General features: G+C 38.4%; 1 protein-coding gene across 20 annotated transcripts in view; it reads left to right on the top strand.

Annotated features, from left to right (window-relative positions):
- PLCH1 (phospholipase C eta 1) overlaps positions 1-21,999 on the top strand; it is a 294,138-nt gene that overhangs the window by 172,430 nt on the left and 99,709 nt on the right. For all 20 annotated transcript variants that reach the window (XM_017005927.2, XM_047447747.1, XM_047447746.1 and 17 more), the window contains 3 exons: positions 4,318-4,411; positions 7,524-7,727; positions 18,446-18,566. In XM_017005927.2, the coding sequence (XP_016861416.1) occupies positions 4,318-4,411; positions 7,524-7,727; positions 18,446-18,566 (419 nt within the window). The remainder of the gene's footprint in view (positions 1-4,317; positions 4,412-7,523; positions 7,728-18,445; positions 18,567-21,999) is intronic.

The following is a 21,999-nucleotide window of genomic DNA, read 5'->3' as shown; positions in this document are numbered from 1 at the left end:
AAATAAGAGAAAATAGAAGGGAGAAACTTATCAAATAAATAATACAAAAAATTTATTAGCATGGAAAGGTAAGATTCTCTAGACTGACAAACCCAAACGAGGGCCAACCTCAGTATAAAGATCCACAAAGAGGCAAATCAGAGTGAAATTTCACAGTGCCAAGGATAAAGTGGAACCCTGAGTGCTTGTAAAAAGAGAAAACTAAACTAAACTAATTAGCAAACAACAACTGGTCCTGTGAAAAGGACTGGAATCAGAATGGCATCAGATTTCTCAACAGCAGTTCTGGAAGCCAAAAATCGTGAGAGCAATGATTCAACCTAGAATTTTCTGCCAAAAACTGTCAAACAAATGTGTGTGTGGAATAAAAGACAAATACACCAGAGCACACACAAAAACACATGAGGGAAATAAATAATTTACTTCCTGAGAGCTCTTTCACAAGAGTGACAGAGTAAAGTCAGAGCAAAAGCTGAATACAGTTCCAGAACCCAACCAGAAGGAAAGAAGGAGAACTTTTGTAGGGAGAAAAAAAGCACAATTCATGGATTATCTGTTGCCTTTGATTATGTGGAACTTGAGAGACCATTAGAGTCATTGGGAAGAATTTGTGATAGGTACATTAAAAGTTAACCAAATGAGTAGGAATGTCAGCAAGTAATCATAAAAAATGTTCTGTGAGAAAGGAAACACAATCACAGTGTACAACGGATTCAGCATTGTTCAACATTCGCATACTTGGAATAATTTAAACACCATATATTTCATAAAAACTGGATGATATAATTATGCTGAGAGGACAGGCAGAGAGGCAGATCTGCAGATCCAGAAGATCTTATTATTATGTTAAAGATCTAACTTAATATCTAACACAGTAAGAAGTCAATAATTTTTAAAGTGTACAATATAGCATTATAAATACAATAATTAGGAATAGAAAGATGGCCGGGTGCGGTGGCTCACACCTGTAATCCCAGTACTTTGGGAGGCCGAGGTGGGCAGATCACCTGAGGTCAGGAGTTCGAGACCAACCTGGCCAACATGGTGAAACCCTGTTTCTACTAAAATACAAAATGAGCAGGGCATGGTGGCGTGTGCCAGTAATCCCAGCTACATGGGAGGCTGAGGCAGGAGAATTGCTTGAACGCGGTAAGCAGAGGTTGCAGTGAGGTCCCTGCTCCCCAGCCTGGGTGACAGGGCAAGACTCCATCTCCAAATATATATATAAAGACCGATTTCAAAAGAAATATCTAGAAATATTGGCATTATTGACTTTGGGGAGTGATTCTGGGTATAGGCGGGGGACTTCTGGTTTTAGTTATAAAGATCTTAGTTTTGACTTATTTAGTTACAAATATAACCCTTTGATAAAAATAAGCTAGTAAGGTTTAGCAATATTAGAATTTTTGCAAATGATACATTGATTTTACACTTGGTGTTGTTGAGAATCATAGCCATAAGAAATATAATTGTTTACCCCTTCTGACTTTGTTTTAAATTTTCATTCACAGGGAAAGTTTTGCTAAAAAACTTACAGGAAGTCTGAGGATAAATAGGTAGTGTCAGAATATGGGTATTTTATAGATCTATGACTAGTTTCTACAACTTGTTTATCTGAAATTAGTTGTCCTTTAATGTGAGGACCAGTGAGTCTTTTCTCTTCTGGATGAGACTAAAGAACTACAGTAAATAAAGGAAAAGAGAATGGAGTCTAATCTTGAATAATAAAATAAGTTAAATTGTAATAATTGATTTGAAGTAAAGAAATGATTTAGGAGTTTCAGTTATATTGAAATTAAAAACACCTATCAGTTTTAAAAGTAAGCATTTTAATTTTTCAATAGAAATAAAGAAAAATGCCCAGAGAATAGTTATACAAGAAAGTGCTTTGGACTTGAAGTCAAGAAGGTCCAAATTTGATCTTTGGTTCTGCCTCTTACAGTTTTGTGACTTTGATGGTGATGTTTAATTAACCTCTCTCAACATTAATTTTTCTATCTACAAGGCAGGGATAAAAACACTAAATTTACAAGACTATTGTAAGAATTATTTAAGATTGTGTGTGTAAAAGCTCTTTACTGCACATTGACAGCATTATATAAATGTAGAGTCATTATTAAAATAATCACATTTTATCTTAAGTTCTTCTTTTAGCACCAGTTGCCTGTAGAAAGAACAATATTCAGTATTGGAGACAGCAAGTGACTCAGATGTTCAATGACAAACAAAACTGTCAAGTGAACTCCATAGGAAACAGGGTTAGAGTAGGGAGAAATTCCTATTTCTCTCTATCAGCTCTGTCAAATAGGAAGCAAAACAGGGTGAAGAAGGACAGTAAAGAGCATTAACCTATGTTGAACCTTCAGTCATACAATAAACTTATAACTTAAATGAAGTCTTAAAAAACTCAATTACGTAAAATGCAGGATTTTGCTGTTGGGAGATTAATTAAATGAGATCAGGGGATGGGGAAGGTTGGGAGTCGATTGACTCTTACATTTCAATTCTCATTATTATGGGGTTTTACTGTATTTTGCAAAGAGTCAATCCTTAATACCTCAATTTTGGTAGAAAGTAGATTATTTTTTCCCATTAATTCTTCTACGGTGGCCAGAAATTTGTGAACTTCACAGAATGCTTACTAATATTTTTGCTAATTCAATGAATATTTTCAAATATGATGTTTTTGGTTATAAAAGTCTTCACTGTATCCTGAATTAGTAACATATTCTCTGCTCACCTGCAGTTAGCTCCATCATCTCAGTGAATTAGTTGTTTTGTTGTTTCTTCATTGCTTTTGTTAAGATTCATGGGCTTCTGGTAGTCTACCTGAGTCCAGTTTAAGACCTCTACATTTCTGAACAAATGGGCTTATAAACAAAATAATTGCAAAGTGAACTTAGTCTTCACACGGCATGTAAAATTGTTATCAATTTGGTTCATTTTATTTTGTGAAAAATTATTTATCTTTAGACTGCATGTGCCAAATCTCTCTAGCTCACAGCAGACAAATTAATGAGCTGCTCAAAGCCTGCCTGGGTCAGTAGAGTTCCTTGGAGGTATTGCAGTTTCATTTATTTATAATACTTTCAGGTGGTTTCTGGTAATATGGGCCCCTAAATAGAATAAGAATTATAAAATTTACTCAAAGGATGCATCAGCCACCATGCTAGTTTGAAAAGAAAGAAATCATTGTGTGTTCTTTTGAACTGACAAAAAACAGCCATACAGCAGTGCTTCACCCCCAGTTTAAATAGACTGTTTAGAAAAACTAGATTTTATTAAAATGTAAGTATTAAACCTAAACAAAAATGGAATATTTGAGAAAATATAATTAAAATATGAAATACTAGCTCACAAAATTAGCTTCCTCTATAATTATTCATTAATATTTTAAAATGTCAATGTTAGATTGTGGGACTAAATGGATTTTTGATCAAAATATCACATTCTTAATGTTGCTGTTTAATTAAAGAAATTATTTCTGAAGAGTTTACCTTTCCCAGTGACACTCAGCATATATTGTTCATGTAGCAAATTTGAGACTGACTCAATAATATTAATATTAATAAATAGCATATACTGCCTTTTTGGTGCCACACAATGTTTTTGCAAATATCAATTCATTTAATCCTTATCACTCCACTATCAGGTAGCCACAGAAAAGGTAAGTAACCTCTTCAATGTCACACTATTAATAATATAAACTAGGTGATTTGAACGCAAGCAGTCTAGCTCCAGAGTTGTTATGCTAGCTACCTCACCTAGCTTTTCATTTTTATTTCCTCTTGCTAACCTTTGTGTTCCTGTATTACCATGGCAGACTGCTCTGCTCAGTGGATGGTTGTATGGATACAAACACACACACACACACACACACACACACAGAGGTACATTTACTTAGAAACATTCTGTTTTGGTAGGGAATCATTCTTTTTCTACATATATTTATGATCAGCAAACTTTAGTGCTTGTGTAGGAAACGTTAATTTTTGCAGATAGCTGCTAGCTTATAGTGAGTGTATTTTTGGCAATGGATTCACATTGATAACTGATTTTATTTCATTTCTTCACAGAGAACATTTGTCTAATAGTTGAAGGGCTATTTTTGCTGATTCAATCTAAAAAATGCATAGGAAGATTGAATCATGGTCATTCTCCAAAGATAAAATAGCTGTGACACTAATAACCCCAAACAATGCTCATTTAGGTACTTTGTACGGTGTGAAGAATGCAAAATCAGTAAATGTCTTTCTACTGTGGAGGAACATAGTTTATGAAATTGCAGGTACTCTACTAGTATTCTGTTTTTCTTAGATGAATAATGTGACAACGGACTATTGTCTTGACATCATAAAGAAGTTTGAAGTTTCAGAAGAAAATAAGGTGAAAAATGTTCTTGGCATAGAAGGTAAAATAACCAATATTCTTTATTTCTCATTTCTTGATTCAGCCTGTTAAGTTAAATTCCAGCAAAAGTTTTTAGGAAAAGAAATCAGGACATATCCATGGGATTATATTAATAAATAATTCAAACAAAATCTACAACACACATATATTTTCCTGCAAAGCAAAGACCATGATGTTGCTATTTGTCTTACTTTTGCAATGCCCATAAGCATTTTCCACTTCAAGCAAGTCTACCTGGTACCACCACGTGTGATGGATGCCATGACATATTTGGGCTTTTCTCAACTGGCTAATTTTTGGAAATTAGCCTGATAATTTCATGAAGGGAAATTCAGTCCTAAAATAAGTTATCCCTGAGACTAGTGACTTGCCATGTTTCCTTTAAAATGGTAGCAACTGACTGTATTTCCTAATTGGTAGCTTTGCAGAAGCTGTTGGAACCACAAATCTCATTAATACAATGACTTCATTTTTTAGTTGAGGAAGTGAGGCTCAAATAAGTTAAATAATTTGCCCACAGTTATATACCCAGAATCTAGCTCCTGAAATGTTAGACGTAAATAATATGGCAGAAATATAGCTACATGTATGTATATGTATTTAAAATATGTAAAGAAATACTATGTAGGCTGCCACCCAAGAGGAGGATCTTTCAGGCAGAGCAGATGATCTTTAATGAAAGACCAGCTGCCTATAAGAGCATGCAAAGCCATGGTTTATCTCACCAATTTTGACCGTTGGCCCCCTCATTTCTTCTGCTCCCAGATCAGTGTGAACAAGGGGGGTTTAATACCATCTATTTACTTCCTGTGGTGGTAGGTAATTAAAGTGAAGAGGAATAATTTAAAATCTTAGATCATTAGCCGGGTGTGGTGGCTCACACCTGTAATCAGCACTTTGGGAGGCTGAGGGAGGGGGATCACTTGAGGCCAGGAGTTTGAGACCAGCCTGGCCAACATGGTGAAACCCCATCTCTACTAAAAATACAAAAATTAGCTGGGCATGGTGGCGCATGCCTGTAATCCCAGCTACTCAGGAAACTGAGGCACGAGAGTCCCTTGAGCCTGGGAGGTGGAGGTTGCAGTGAGCCGAGACCGTGCCACTGCATTTCAACCTGGGTGACAGAGTGAGACTCTGTCTCAAAAAATAAAATAATAAAATAAAATAAAATCTTATATCATTAAAAACTGTTTTAAAAACAACCAGAGATGATAAACTAACTTGGGCCTTTTCTGTGCTAAGAAATGAATCTTTTCTTTGGTGAGGCCTGAAAAGATGGAATTAAACCTGGTTTCCTAAGTTATGGACATAAAAGTTGGCATGAAGAAATTAAGTCTCTGAGGATATTTACAAATATAATTATACCAAATGATTTTTGAAAACTTGAAATAATTTACCCTAATAATTATTCTATTTAGGTACTTGTGAGTCATCCATGTATTTATTTGTTATATTAGTGAAAACCTCTTTGACCCAGGCATTATATTTTGAAAGATTGTAAAAAAACTGATAGGGTTTTCTAAATAATCTTAAAGGACTATTTCAAAGTTATAAAATGTGCCAGCCATTAGCAGCATTTTTTCAAACCAATTTGGTTGTCAATCACACCCTGAATTTAGACAGTGTTTAACTTTTGGCTTACTACCTTAACTATGGCACTGACTTTACTGTTTTTCAGATGAACGTAATAACCTATCAATTGCTGGTTGTTCAGGGTACCTCTTGGTATCACTATGGTTTTAACATGGCATCAGTCACACTGCATAAGCATAGCTTGAGTTCAGTCATCACTAAACAGCTTGGCCCCTCCTCTACCTAGTCAAAATTCTTAAAAAGTCAACATATATATACACACATATATATATGTGTGTATATATATGTATATATATGTGTATATATACGTATATATATGTATATATGTATATATATGTGTATATATACGTATATATATGTATATATGTATATATATGTGTATATATACGTATATATATGTATATATATGTGTATATATACGTATATATGTGTATATATGTATGTGTATATATATGTGTATATATGTGTATATATGTATGTGTATATATGTATATATACATATATATGTATATATACATATATATATGTATATATATATTAGGTTATATTTAAAAGGCTATTCCTAAAAGTCACATTTCATTTTTTGACACTGTCTATTTGACTGTATTAGGCTGTTCTTGTGTTGCCATTAGGAAATACCTGGCCGGGCACAGTGGCTCACGCCTGTAATCTCAGCACTTTGGGAAGCCGAGGCGGGCAGATCACATGAGGTCAGGAATTCAAGACCAGCCTGGCCAACATGGTGAAACCCCATCTCTACTAAAAATGCAAAAAAATTAGCTACACGCAGTGGCGCATGCCTGTAGTCCCAGCTACTCAGAAGGCTGAGGCTGGAGAATCTCTTGAACCTGGGAGGCGGAGGTTGCAGTGAGCCAAGATCGTGCCATTGCACTCCAGCCTGGGCGACAAAGCAAGACTCCATCTCAAAAAAAAAAATAAATAAATAAAATAAAATAAAGAAGGAAAGAAAGAAAGAAATACCCGAGGCTAGGTAATTTATAAAGAAGAGTTTTAATTGGCTCACATTCTACAGGTTGTACCAGAAGCATGGTGCCAGCATCTGCTTGGCTTCTCTGGGGAGGCTGGAGGGAGCTTTTACTCATGGTAGAAGGTGAAGTGGGAGGAAACAGGTCACGTGGCTTGAGCTGGAGCAGGAGAGAGAGTGGAGTGGAGAGAGCCATATACTTTTAAACAAACAGATCTCAGGAGAACTCATGCGCTACTGCAAAGACAGCACCAAGCCTTGAGGGGTCCACCCCCATGATCCATACACCTCCCACCAGGGCCCACCTCCAACATAGGGGATTATATTTCAACATGAGATTTGGGTGGAACAAATATCTAAACCATACTATTGACCTCAAGCAAATCTCTCATTGCTCCAGTTTTCCCCACAAATGCCATCCTGAGGGTAAATAAGATAATCATTATGAACATTTTTTGACCCCTTTTGCCCCTCTTAGAGCCATTAAGTATATATGCTTTGAAAGCTGTAGTAAGTCACTCTCTTTCTTCCAAAGGCTTCACGAACTTCATGCGTAGTCCTGCCTGTGACATATTTAACCCATTGCACCATGAAGTGTACCAAGACATGGATCAGCCCCTCTGCAACTACTACATTGCTTCCTCTCACAATACATACCTGACTGGAGACCAGCTCCTTTCTCAGTCCAAAGTGGATATGTATGCACGGGTGCTGCAAGAGGGCTGTCGCTGTGTGGAAGGTACGTGCACTTTTTCTGAGCTCCGGTGTGTATGGGTGACCCTGTCCTTTAATCAGTCTGTCGAGTCTAGTATAAAGAATGGAGACCTAAAACACACTCTCACACTAATTAGTACTACTTTTCTGCTCATTGTAAAGTCAATCTTAACTCATAATTCTCTCTGGCTCCTTATTGTTCAATTGGGAGAAAGAGATCTGTGTTAGCAGTTGTGAAGCATACCGTTAGTTGCTGAGAAATTATGATGAAAATTAAAGTCTTCCTAGAAAGATATTTTTAATTATACAATTGCAAAAATAGTTCAGGAGAGCTCTTTGTTTTTATTTTTTAATTTTTTAATTTTTTATTTTTTTTGAGATGGAGTCTCGCTCTGTCACCAGGATGGAGTGTAGTGGCACGATCTAGGCTCAGTGCAATCTCCACCTCCCAGGTTCAAGCGATTCTCCTTCCTCAGCCTCCCAAGTAGCTGGGATTACAGGTGCACACCACCACACCCAACTAATTTTTTTTGTATTTTTAGTAGAGACGGGGTTTCACCATGTTGGCCAGGATGGCCTCGATCTCTGACCTCATGATCCACCCACCTCAGCCTCCCGAAGTGCTGGGATTACAGGTGTGAGCCCCCGCGCCTGGCCAAGCTCTTTGTTTTTAGGATACTTCATGGTCTATCAATTAGCCAACATTTATTAAACTTCTAGTGGGTTCCAGGTGGTGAGTATACAGGAGTAAGTAAAATATGAATTCTGTCTTCAGGGAGTTCACAGTCTAGTAGAAGGGATGAACATTTTTTTTATAAAATAATATAAACCAGGCATGGTATTGTACACCTATAGTTTTAGCTACCTGGGAGGCTGAGGTGGGAGGATTGCTTGGGACCAGGAGTTCAAAGCTGCAGTGTGCTGTGATTGTGCCTGTGAATAGCTATTGCATTCCAGTCTGAGCAACACAGTGAGACCCCACCTGTGAGAGAGAGAGAGAGACAGAGAGAGAGAAACAATGTGAAAATTTCACCGGTTGGTTGATATACAATGGTATAGAAGTGGTGGTATAGAGAATGAAGTGCGAGGTAAAATGTGATGAGAAATCAGTTAGGCTAGGAAGGGAGCTGAGGGTCAGCTGTAAAGGGTTTTGAGTGCTATGGTGAGGAATTTCATTTTAGTTTTTGGTAATGAGGGGCCAGTGAAAGGTTTTAATATCTATAGTGATATGATCAGATTTGCAGTTGAGAAAGATTATTTGGGCAACAGTGTGAAAGGATAATTTTAAAAGTTTTTTTTTTTTTTTGACATGTGTGTTTGTGGAGGGAGAAGGGAGGTGAAACTGGAAGCAGGAAGTTGGTGGGAAGGCTATCACAGTGAATCCAAGGGAGGATTCCAAAATCTTGGACTAAGTGAGAAAGAGATGATGTTAAGGATGCAGTATTGAAGAGGTAAACTTAGTGGAAACTGGTGAGAGAAAAGAATAAAAGGAACGAAGGGGAGAGCTAGAAGGTGGATGGTGCCACTCCATACTATAGGGAATCTGAGAACAAGAGTCTAAATGAGTCCAGTTTTCCATCTGCTGAATTTAGATTGATTTTGTAACATGTATGTGGACATCTTTATCAGTCATTTGGATAACAATGTCTGAACTTAATGAAGAGTCTGGGCAAGATAAGGATTCCAAAATGCTGAACTTGGTATGTGGTAGTTAAAATCATGGAAGTGTACAAGATCACTTACAGAGAGAAGGGGAAAAGAGGAAGAGGCCTGAGGACTTCAGCAATACAACGATTAGGAGTAGGGAGCACAAGGGGAGCCAGCAAGGCCAGTGCAGAGAACAGGAGTACTTGGATCTAAAGGATGAAAGGGTTAGAAAGGAATAGCCAGAAATGCCACAGGGAACAGAAAAATAAAATAAAACTAAGTATCCAATTTAGTTGTATTTGACAGCAGGGAATTGTTGGTGGCCTTTGCTATGTAGGTTGGTGATATGTTAGTGGGCAGTTGGTTACCTGCTGTCGATTGGTGACTGGGCATTTTTCTGCATCCAAATGTTTGATGATATAGGCTGGGGGGCAACTTTGAGACTTGGAAGTGGGGGAAATAATATAGGTTTGTTTTCAGGTGGAATAAAGGGGACAAGAGATTTTTGAAAGGGCGCATGCCTGTTTTCTCAGAGAAGTAGGAGAGAACATCATCCACTCAGTATAAAGTGAGTGGAGATTGGCCACAGGGCTTAAAATCAGCAAATTGTTAAAGAAGTCATCAGAGAATGGGAAAGGAATTGACAAGGTAAGTCAGGGAAGCCCAAGCTGATTTCAAAAACAGTCTTTACTGATTCAAAATCTGGATGCTTAGACTCCCTTTGATCCCATCCCCAGCAGTACTCATCTGCTTAGAGAAGTAGTGAAGACAGATTATGGAATTGATCCAAGTCTCGGGATTTCTAGATCATATTAAATATCTTCAAGGTATTGGTGAGAGCTCTTATAAGTAACTGACAGGGGCTCCATGGTTCTAGGAAAGGAAGCGAAGTGGATAGGGGGCCATAAAATAAGATTAAGAGACTAGAAGACTCAAATAAATAGAAAAATGTGGAAAGTTGTCATCACACTTTAAGAAAATGAGAACAGAGCTGTCATTGCAATGGGATTTAGTCACAGGTGACAATTTCCAGATTGTGTCATGGGTGAGCATCATGGAAACAGAGTGAAGCAAGGGATTATTGGCCTGGAGGAGGTCAGTGCTAAGGGATTAAATAGATGGCTACATGGTGTTTTAATTTACAAAGTATGCAGACAGGAGCAGATTGGAGATTAAAACTATAAACCAGACACTTAAGTATAAAAACAATGTGGCCAGGCGCAGTGGCTCATGCCTGTAATCCCAGCACTTTAGGAGGCTGAGACAGGCTGAGGCTTGAGGTCAGGAGTTTGAGACCAGCCTGGCCAACATGGTGAAACCGCATCTCTACTAAAACTGCAAGAATTATCCGGGCATGGTGGCATGCACCTGTAGTCCCAGCTGCTCAGGAGGCTGAGGCAGGAGAATCACTTGAACCCAGGAGGCAGAGGTTGCAGTGAGCCGAGATCATGCCTTTGCACTCCAGCCTGGGCAACAGAATGAGATTCCATCAAAAAAAAAGTACTGGAGAGGATGTGGAGAAATAGGAACACTTTTACACTGTTGGTGGGACTGTAAACTAGTTCAACCATTGTGGAAGTCAGTGTGGCGATTCCTCAGGGATCTAGAACTAGAAATACCATTTGACCCAGCCATCCCATTACTGGGTATATGCCCAAAGGACTATAAATCATGCTGCTATAAAGACACATGCACACGTATGTTTATTGCGGCATTATTCACAATAGCAAAGGCTTGGAACCAACCCAAATGTCCAACAATGATAGACTGGATTAAGAAAATGTGGCACATATACACCATGGAATACTATGCAGCCATAAAAAATGATGAGTTCATGTCCTTTGTAGGGACATGGATGAAATTGGAAATCATCATTCTCAGGAAACTATCGCAAGAACAAAAAACCAAACTCCGCATATTCTCACTCATAGGTGGGAATTGAACAATGAGAGCACATGGACACAGGAAGGGGAACATCACACTCTGGGGACTGTTGTGGGGTGGGGGGAGGGGGGGAGGGATAGCACTGGGAGATATACCTAATGCTAGATGATGAGTTAGTGGGTGCAGCGCACCAGCATGGCACATGTATACATATGTAACTAACCTGCACAATGTGCACATGTACCCTAAAACTTAAAGTATAATAATAATAAGAAATAATAATTAAAAAAAAAAGAAAAGGTGATTAGAAGATGCCAGAAAGGTATAGCTGGATAGAATAAGCTTCAAAAGAGGAGAGATTTTTTAATGAGTGTAGAAGAACAATCATTTAAAAGTAGCAGTAAAGGCATAGATAATGCCTTTTGGTTTATATCTAAATCTTCTGTGATTTATACAAAAGAGCATCCTTGGAGAAAGGAAGTAGTGCCCTCGAAGGTAAGCTGGTGCTTAGCCAGGGTAAGGAGGTTGAGGAGAATTCCAAAGGGAGTCTGAAGATAAAAGGGAGTTGGTTTATGATTGAATGGAGATGCCATGAGTCACAGGGAATTGTCTTTTGATTTTGGTGGGGAATGTGCTGGGAGTCAGCAGTGGGATGACTGGTTTTCCTAGGCATGGTGGAAAGTGCAGGGCAATGAATAAAGCAGTAGGACAATGAGATAAGACTGCTTAACTGGAAGGGCCTTTCTTTGTCAGATAGTTTCTAGCTTGAATTTTCTGCTACAAAAGTGACAGTAATGTTATTAAGGTAAATCAACATGCTTAAAAAATGGGCAGGTATTAAAAACTACCTGCATACAGAAACATTAGGATGACTACAAATTGAATGCTCTGTAAATTTAGTCGTTCAATAGTATTTTTGCAATAGTTGCAGAGAGTACATACCAGCAATAGTGATTAACAATTGAGTAGCTTAAACAACTGAATAATGAAGATGCTATAAAATATTAAGAGGAAGAAAATCCTTTCAAGCAGTAAGATGTCTCAAGGTGACATTCTGCTCTCAGCCATTATTCAGCCCTTTGTTTGCTTAGCACTCAACAAGTTTTCATGTCTGGCATGCATAGAGATGCCCTGAGCACACAGCCTCATTGGATTCACACTGATGGTTGCCTATCATTGTAAATAGTGACATTTTCTTGGAGGTTCAAGTACAGAAAATGACTTTTAGTGACTCCATGAAGTGACAGTCAACTCTAGACAATTTTACAACTTTGTTAATTCTGTCTCTTCTGCTCTATTTCTTTTGCTTTTCAGTTCTTTCAGATACCTAGGCTTCTCTTTTTGGTTTACCTGTCCAAAATCAGTATCCTACCCAAGCCTAACCATGTTTCTGTCATTAATTCCTTATACCGACTCAAAACTTCTAAACCTCCAGCTTTGTTTGGGGTATTAAGAAGGAAAGTTATCTGATTAAGATAATTCATGATAAAGTACACATGATTTTTAGTTGTTGCTTTTCCAGTAGTCTTTTAATTCTAAAATGGGAGCTTTTGGAAATTGTGTGCAGTAGATGACATTGAACAAGAGCCTTCTCTTGTACCTTCTTACTTCCTGTTTTCCAGTCGCTGCTGTAATATAAAGAAGCTACTTGGCTCTGTATGTCCAAAAGGTTACCTTCTCCAGATACTTGTACAAACGAGGCTATGCACAGCTATGGTATAATTTTGAAGGATATGTAATTTTTTATATGCTCCCAAATATCTTCCTCACCAGCTTGCATCAGTAAATTCTTTCCCTAGTATTTGGCTTAAAGTTCTTATTATTAGAATAATCTATAACTGGACAATAGAAGTTGAACTACTATTTCTGGAATGTTTTTCTTGAGGAGAATAATTATATTTATCTCAGAGACTTGGCCAGCTTTGCATTTGACCTATTTCTTTGTATTTGTTTGTTCATTTTGTTTTTGTGTGTTTGACCTATTTCTTATTGGAAATAGTGGTTGTCACCTTGGATTTGAATGTATTGTAGGAAGGAAAAGAGGACCTACTATGATTTTAGCAACTTTAGTGGACCAGGTCCTGGCTAAGTGTTTTCCGTGCATTCTCATTTAATTCTTATAACACCACCAAGAAAGAGGGAATAATCTCTTCTTAAGAGATTCAACTCATAGTTAAATAAATGGCTTAAGTTCCCGAGGTTAGGAAGCTTGGAAGCTGGGATTTGAACTCAGGTTGGTCTGACTCTTGAATTGCACTGTTCTCCAGAAAGTCTGTGTGTTTTTGGAGGAGCAAGCATTGAATGACATGACCAGCCCTAAGGAATTGAATGAGGCTGTCATGTCATATAAGGATGGCCAGAGAAAGTGAGGAGCACAACATAGAGGAGAGGTTGGCATTAAAAGGAGGAATTTGCTTCATTTGTGATTAGGCCTACCACCTAAATATTTAGATGTTCCTGAAGGCTTAGCATTTGGTGACATGATCTCTGTGGTCCTCCTAACAATATCTGTCAGTCCTGTGATTTGAAGACCTTAGTCCACATTTGAAGCTTGGGCACAGAGACACCAGTGTGTGTATAGTAGTCTCCTCTTATCTGCGGTTTCATTTTCCATGGTTTCAGTTAGCCATGGTCAGCTGCACCCCGAAAATATTAAATAGAAATTCCAGAGAGAAACAACATATAAGTTTTAAGTTGTGTACCATTCTAAGTAGTGTGATGAAATCTCACACCGTCCTACTCTGTCCCTTCTTCACCACAAGAGGAAAGGTGATACAGTAAAATATCTTGAGAGAGAAACCACATTCACATAACTTTTATTGCAGTATAATTGTTCTGTTTTACTATTAGTTATTGTGAATATCTTACTGACCTAATCTATAAACTAAACTTTATTATAGGTATGTATATGTAGGAAAAAAACAAGGGTGTATGTATAAGGTTCAGTACTTTGCAGTTTCAGGCATCTACCGGGAGCCTTAGAATTTATCTCCCGAGGATAAAGGGGTACTGCTGTATACCTAGTGGCATTTTATCTGCCATGTGGCCAGATGAAGGTATTTTTATTCTTAAACAGCTGCAGTTAGAATTTAAAGAACACAATTTATAGAATGTAGCCGGTCATGGGTTGAAAATTTCAGGTCCCACAGCTGTTTTCTGAAGCAGCTTTTGCTAAGTGTAGCACTTGAGAGATGGAGAAGAATGATTCTACAGTATTTTCACACTATTGTGACCTGGAGGTTCTCTCTACTTTCAAGCTTCTATTTTGGTAATGTTATGTTTTCCATCTCCATTAGTTCAGCTGCAATAATGTCCTTAGTCAGGATATGTACACAGTGTCTTGAGGAAGAGCAATAAGTCTTTTTGGTGAGGTGGGCTTGTCAGCAAATCAAATGGATAACATTTTTACATGGCCTTTTATTCGCTTGATTTTCAGCCTGAGTTGCTTAATAAATATGGATGTTCTGTCCAGGGGATTTTCATTCTCATTATGGGACTGATGTTGCATTGCTGTTGTAATCGGTTTATGACTTCTCCAGTTATCTCTGGGAGTGCTATCAGGGTGGAACGTCTTTAAGCTCCATTATGAAAAGCTGTCATGTTAGCTATTTGGCCTTCAGAATGGCTAAATCTTTGTTGGAGTTGCTTTGCTTTTGGGGTTCCATAGTGTGTAACCTGATTGAAAAATGGGCCCCGGCTCTTTTATGAGCAGGGGAATTGGACAGAGGATTTCTACCTTGCCAACATTCCCATTTACAGCATTAGCACTTACAGGAAACTTCACTGCCATTTGAACCTGGCCACGAATGCCACATATTAAGATGCCAGTACCATTTGGGAATGTTGTTATCTTCATCTCACAGACAAGTGATGGAATTAGATATAAAAATTGAACATTAGGAGAACCTCCTATCCTCAGTTATGAATATTCTGCCTATGTTGTAAATACTAGCCAAAGAGTGCCTTCTTTCATGACTCGTGTAGTTTTAATTTTTGATGTAGACACCATAAGCAAGTCGGGCAAGGTATTGCTTTGTCGCCTTTGCATTCTTTTGGAAAAGCTATTAGTTCCTTTATGAAGAATCCTGTTATGCTCTTTCTTCTCCAAGAAGGGACCACAAAACAGGGTAAAAATTGTTAAAATTATATATTATTTGAAACACCTGTTAAGTTTTTTCCATAATTATTTCCAGAGACAAATTAAAGACTGTCAAGTACATGGAAAAATATGGATGACGCTTCTCTTGTGAGAAGATGTTGTTGATACATATGACCTCATTTGCAGGCCCCAAGGAATAGTAGACACTCTCTGATAGTATCTCAGAACCTTTGGTTTTCTTAACAGCATTTTATCCTTAAACATTGTTTTTAGCATTCCTGTGGTATCAACTGTGAATGTTTTTTCTTCTTTTATTTTTTCTATTTTTTTCCCATAGGGATATTTGAACAGCCAGTGTTTAGTGGATTAATATAGATAGCTGTATTAGTCGGGGTTCTGCAGAGAAACAGAACCAATAAGATATGTAGAGAAAGCAAGAGATTGAGATTCGTTGTCTGATTTTTAAGGAATTGACTCTCATGCTTGTGGGTGTTGGCAAATCTGAAATCTGTAGAGCTGGCCAGCAGGCTGGAATTCAGGCAGTTTCTGTGTTGCAGTGTTGAGAATTTATCCTTGAAGGGTAACCTCAGTCTTTGCTCTTAAGGCTCTCAGCTGACTGGGCGAGGCCCACTCACATTGTGGAGCATAATCGGCTTTACCCAAAGCCTACTGATTTAAATGTTAATCCTATTTTTAAAATATCTTCACAGAACATATAGACTGGTGTTTGACCAAATAACTGAACATCATAGCCAAGCCTCATTGACATGAAAAATTAACCATTACAATCACATTGTAATTATGGTGAGCATTTTGAATATTTTAAAAGAAAAACAGAGATATCTCCTGGGGTAATACACAAAACACACATATAGGGGAAGGTGCTACTAAAATAGAGAACATATGTGGTTCACAACTGTGTGGTCCTAATTAAAGGCAGAGTTTCTTTTATTTTGAGACGGAGTTTCACTCTTGTTGCCCAGGCTGGAGTTGCAATGTCACGAGCTCGACTCACTGCATCCTCCACCTCCCGGGTTCAAGCGATTCTCCTGCCTCAGCCTCCTGAGTAGCTGGGATTACAGGCATCCGCCACCACACACAGCTAATTTTTGTATTTTTAGCGGAGAAGGGGTTTCACCATGTTGGCCAGGCCGGTCTCGAACTCTAAAGGCAGACTTTCAATCAGCATTCCATTATGCAAATTCAGCTTGCAGAAATGTTTATGTTTGACCCATATTGTAGTTTTAAAAATGGATTAATTGCCAGTATTTAAAAATTGGGAAAATTCACAGCAATAAAATCTAGACATTTTAGTTTCCTCAGAAGTTCTGGCAACCAAGGTTCTCATTCCTACTTAGTAATGATTAACAGTAAGTAGTTATCTCATTCAGGCACACATTTCCCATTGAGCCGCTGCACTTATTTATATTAACTGCTAGGCTTTTGGTGGTGTTTGAGATGATGACCTCTTGCCATAAGGAAAAGAGAGATCCTGTGGGCTAGCGAGGTTCTGTGGGGGATCCTAGTTTTGCCTTGATTAGGATTTAGGTAAGCAAAATGAGAAGGGGATATGTCAGTTGACTTTAAAGAAAGAAGAAAAGACACATGGAGGTGGGAATGTGTGTGAGAAAATTTGCCTAACCAGAAGAACAAGCCTGTGAGCTTGGGTGTAGGAGAAAGTAAGATTGAATTGTCAGACAGGAGCTAGCATGGTAATTAAGGCAACATTGTCCTTTTAACAATAAAACTTCAAATTTCCTGTGCCTTAAAACAACTGAAGTTTATTTCTTGATTATGTCAAGTTCAAAATAGGTGTTCCTAGTGGGTGAATCTCTCAAGCAGTTTTGTCTTTTTCCATCTTGTGGCTGTGCCATCTTCACCACTTCTAAAGTCACAGCAGAAGAGGAAAGAAGACGAATGATTATGTAAGGCAGCAGGTTTCTGTCAACCATACCTGGAAGTGGTGCACATACTTTCTGCCCACATTTCACTGGCCACATCCTCCTGCAAAGGAAGGCTAGGAAATAGAGTCCAGCTGTGTTCCCTCGATAAAAGAAGAAACAGGGTTAGTGAATGATTAGCCAGGCTCTAGCACAAGAGACAGGGGCGTTGGAGGTAAGCACGCAAGAGCTATTGTATGAGGTAAGATATTTATTAATCCATTTAGCATATATTTACAGACTACTTACTTCTCTGTGTTGGATGCTGTGCTATGCACCAAGTAGGCTTTTGAGCAAAGGAGCAATGAGGTGAAAGTAGTGTTTTGAGGAATTAGCCTGGGGGCAAAATATAAAAACAAGAGAAAGCAAATTCTTAGTCAGAGGGGCATGGTGAAAAACCTACTGTCTTTCTCCAGCTGAGAGCTAATGAGATTGTGTGGGTAGAGAGCAATATTAATAGTATCAATAACAATCATAGTTACTATATGCCATGCAGTGTTACAAGCTACTTTACATATATTTAACTGTCACTCAAATTTATGATGTAAGTGCTATTACTCTCCTTTTCTAGATGGGGAAAACAAGTCTTCAAATGATTAAGTTATTTGCCCAAATTCACATAAATCTTGGCAGCGCTCGAGGATTTGAACTTAGGAAGTTGATGTTATTTTATAACTACTGTAGTATTAATGAAATGAAAATCAATCTAATGAAAACATTGTGAGCCTAAGTGAACAATAATGAAAACTATATTATTGATTTGGGAAGGACACTGTGACTTTCTAAAAGACCTTCATAACCTGAAGAAGAAGAAGAAGAAGAAGTGAAATTGGGTAAATGACCTTTCAAGAAATCTCCCTATCCTTGGGCACACTTGACTGGATTTAGATAAGTTCTAATGAGTTTTTGGTGAATTCTGAGCTGTTTAAGAATATGACATCTTTTTAACCACACTCAAAACCAAATCATTGTGTCTTGAGGAAAAGCAATTCTTTAATTCCTTGTTCTGATAAATATGCCAGAACACCGATTTCTGTGTCTGTGTCACGTCTTTGTCAGGATTGAAATGGGTATAATTTCAGATAATGGACTTAATATGTGTCTGGTATTTCCAGAAATATTAATAAACACCAGAGACTTTGGGTTGTTGATATAAAGTTCTGTTTTTGGCAGTTGACTGTTGGGATGGCCCAGATGGAGAGCCAGTAGTACATCATGGTTACACTCTCACTTCAAAAATTCTCTTCAGAGATGTTGTGGAGACCATCAACAAGCATGCCTTTGTGAAGAATGAGTAAGTAAAGCAGCACCTGTGAGCTAAGCGGTAGCCTCCCGCATGGAGCATTGCCTGATGTAACGTAGCTACAAAACCACATCCTCTTCCTTGGACTCTACACTGCCCTCTTTGCTAGACTAGTTTTCTCCCTCCTTCTCAGCAAAACATTGTGAACAAATAATGTGGCCTTCCCGTTTGTACTTTCTCATGCTGCATTTATTCCTTGTCCCATTCTTTCTCAATATGCCTCCTTAAAGACATTCTTGCAAATAGTGACCTCTAAATTTCTAAATCCAGGGTGTAGAGTGTCCATAAAATCTGGAAACATAGGTTACTGTGTACATAATTAGTGGGTTCTGATCATGATGGATGTCTTATCTATACACTGAGGTGTCTGGAGTCCTTATGTTACTTGACCCTCTCCTTGTCATTTGACAGTGTTGAATATTTCCTCCCCACTACTTGCCTTTTTTGGTTTCCATTATATCATTCTCCCCTCCATTGCTCTCGTTGCTTCTCAATCTCTTTTTTTTGTACTGCAGTCTTCTGTTAATCTATTTCCTCATTCCTCTAATGGTTAACTGTTTTCTAAGGTTTTGCCCTAGATCACTTTCTGGATATTTATCAAATTCTATGTCCAGAACTTTCCCCTCAAGTTCTAGGCCCATGTTGAAACATACTCAGTGAGGCCGGGCACGGTGGCTCCTGTAGCACTTTGGGAGGCTGAGGAGGGTGGATCACGTGAGGCCAGGAGTTTGAGACCAGCCTGGTCAACATGGCGAAGCCCTGTCTCTACTAAAAAAATACAAGTATTAGGTGGATGTAGTGGTACACATCTGTAATCCCAGCTACTTGGGAGGCTGAGGCATGAGATTTGCTTGAACCCAGAAGGTGGAGGTTGTAGTGAGCTGAGATTGCACCACTGCACTCCAGCCTGGGTGACAGAGTGAGACTCCATCTCAGAAAAATAAAAATAAAAATAAAAATCCTCAGTGAATATTCATCTGAGTATCCCATAGGTGTGGGGAGCCACAACAGTGAGCAGAAGATAAGACTCCTGCCATTAAGGAGCTTACTCCCCAAGGGGAACTCAGCATCTCATTCTGCCAAACTTCCTCTTGATTCTCGCTCCATTTCCTCTTATTAATAGTTAGGGGCAGCACTGGCCTCAGCCAGAAACTGGGAGTCATTCTAGACTCAACCAATTCTTGGCAATTCTACTTCCCAAGTTATCTTTTGACTCCATTGCCTCCTGTTCATTTTTATTTCCCCTTTGGTTCATCCTCAACACTGGTGCTATAATTTTCTTTCTGAAATATGAGCATGGTGATTCAATTCTTGTCTTAAAGCCTGTCAGAAGCTCTCTCAATACACAGGCATGTCTTCATATCCCTTAAGGTCTGGCATCTCCCTTGTCTTCCACTATCATCTTCCACCATTATTCCACAGAGATTTAGGATTCTGCCTTCAATGACTGTCTTTCAGCTTCCCTATTGAGCCTGGCTCTTTCTCAACTCCCCACTCTTACGTATGCTGTTCTCTCTGCCTGGAACAACCTTCCCCGTTAGTCTATCTGATTAATTGTTGCTTATTCTACAAGGCCGTTTAAGTATTGTCCCTCCAACAAGTTACTAATACCACCAGCTGATTTAAATCTTCTTTTTCTCCATATTTTCTCTGTATTTAGCACCCTGCACATATTTCTGTCATATCATATAGCACCCTCTTGCAATTGGTTGGTTACTTGCCTTCTTTTACATCTGTAAGACTGTGAACTCACTGAAAATATGAGCAATCTCTTATTATTTTGTATTCATTTTTGTTGCCTAGCAGGTACCTTCAGTATACCAGCTATTCAAGAAAGGATTTTTGAATTAAAGGAAACAAATTAAAATTACAATTGTGTAAAATTAATTTTTTAGAAGTTAGTAGCCTTTAAAATTTCCAATATTTGGTCTTCTCATTAATTAAACATGAGGTTAAAAATGCTTTTCTAATAAGACACACTTGCTGTATAGCAGATTTAGTTTATGATGCCTCCCACGTGGAAGAATCTTGAACACTGCATTCTAATGGGTCTTTACAACCCTGATTTCTACAGGTCCTAGCCAAATGGGTGAAGTAATTTTGCCTTTATTTCCCAATGTATGAAGTAGGGTGTTGAGAAGGCCTGCCACCTATGTATCTTGGAAGATCCTCTGGTGATTTGACAATTTACTTCAAGTTTGGGAACTCTTAGAAGAAAAGCACTTCAAATTAAAAGAGTTAATAAACTTGTTTAGTACATTTTAAAAGTTCAGCCTTTTCCTCTCCTTTCTTAACTTTGGTTGCATCTTTATATCAGGGTTTCTCAACCTTGGCACTAATGACATTGTGTACTGATAATTTTTTTTTTTTTTTTTTTTTTTTGGTAGAGAGCTGTCCTGTGCAGCGTAGGGTGGAAAGCAACATCCTCAGCTTCTATTCATTATGTGCCAATAGCACCCCTGAAGTGTGACCACCAAAAATGTCTTCAGATATTGACAAGCGTCTCCTGTACTGGGGGGAATAATTGCCTCGTTCCCTGTTGAGAAGCACAGCTTTACACTAAACATCATCAAGCACTAATTAGGCTTTTTTTTTTTTTTTTTTTTTTTTTTTTTTTTTTTTCTGAGGCAGCCTTGCTCTGTCGCCCATGCTGGAGTGCAGTGGCATGATCTCAGCTCACTGCAACCTCCGCCTCCTGGGTTCAAGCGATTCTCTTGCCTCAGCCTCCTGAGTATCTGGGATTACCGGCACGTGCCACAATGCCTGGCTAATTTTTGTATTTTTAGTAGAGACAGTGTTTCACTATATTGCCCAGGCTGGTCTCGAACTCCTGGCCTCAAGTGATCTGCCTGCTTCGGCCTCCCAAAGTGCTGGGATTACAGGCATGAGCCACCACTCCCTGCCACTAATAGATTTTTTGTAAATGAATTGACAATGTGAAAATTCCTTGTTAAAACTCCCTGATGTGACTGCAGGACAACTCAGGGTTGTCAGTTTGTTGTTGCTGTTGCTTTTCCCTCTTCTAGCACTTTAGGGTAAAACCTATGTGAAGAAATGAATAGCAAACAGATTGTAGTCGAGTAAGGAAACCTACCTCAGCCACAAAGGCTCATCTGTAAGATGGCCCACAGCATCAGGTTTTACTAATGAGGAGAGAAGGTAGGTCTGGCGGTCATAGCCCGTATTGTGGAACTTGTGCTTGTCATGAAAGCCTGGAAAAAGTTTTTCTGCACATTGATATATTAGGTGATTTAAATATTGGTATATGTTGATATATTAGGTGATTTAAATATATTGCCTATTATGTCTGAAGACATGTAACGGAAAACTAGAAAAAAGTCAATGAACCTGAATTTGAAATAATTTCTTATTCTGAGGAAAAAATAAGGTTGAGAGAGGAGTAAAATCATGTAATCAGCCCTGA

The sequence above is a fragment of the Homo sapiens genome, chromosome 3 (genome assembly GCF_000001405.40).
Source record: "Homo sapiens chromosome 3, GRCh38.p14 Primary Assembly".
NCBI lineage: Eukaryota > Metazoa > Chordata > Mammalia > Primates > Hominidae > Homo > Homo sapiens.
The sequence above is the reverse complement of the archived record's forward strand: the minus strand, read 5'-3'. Positions and strand labels throughout refer to the sequence as shown.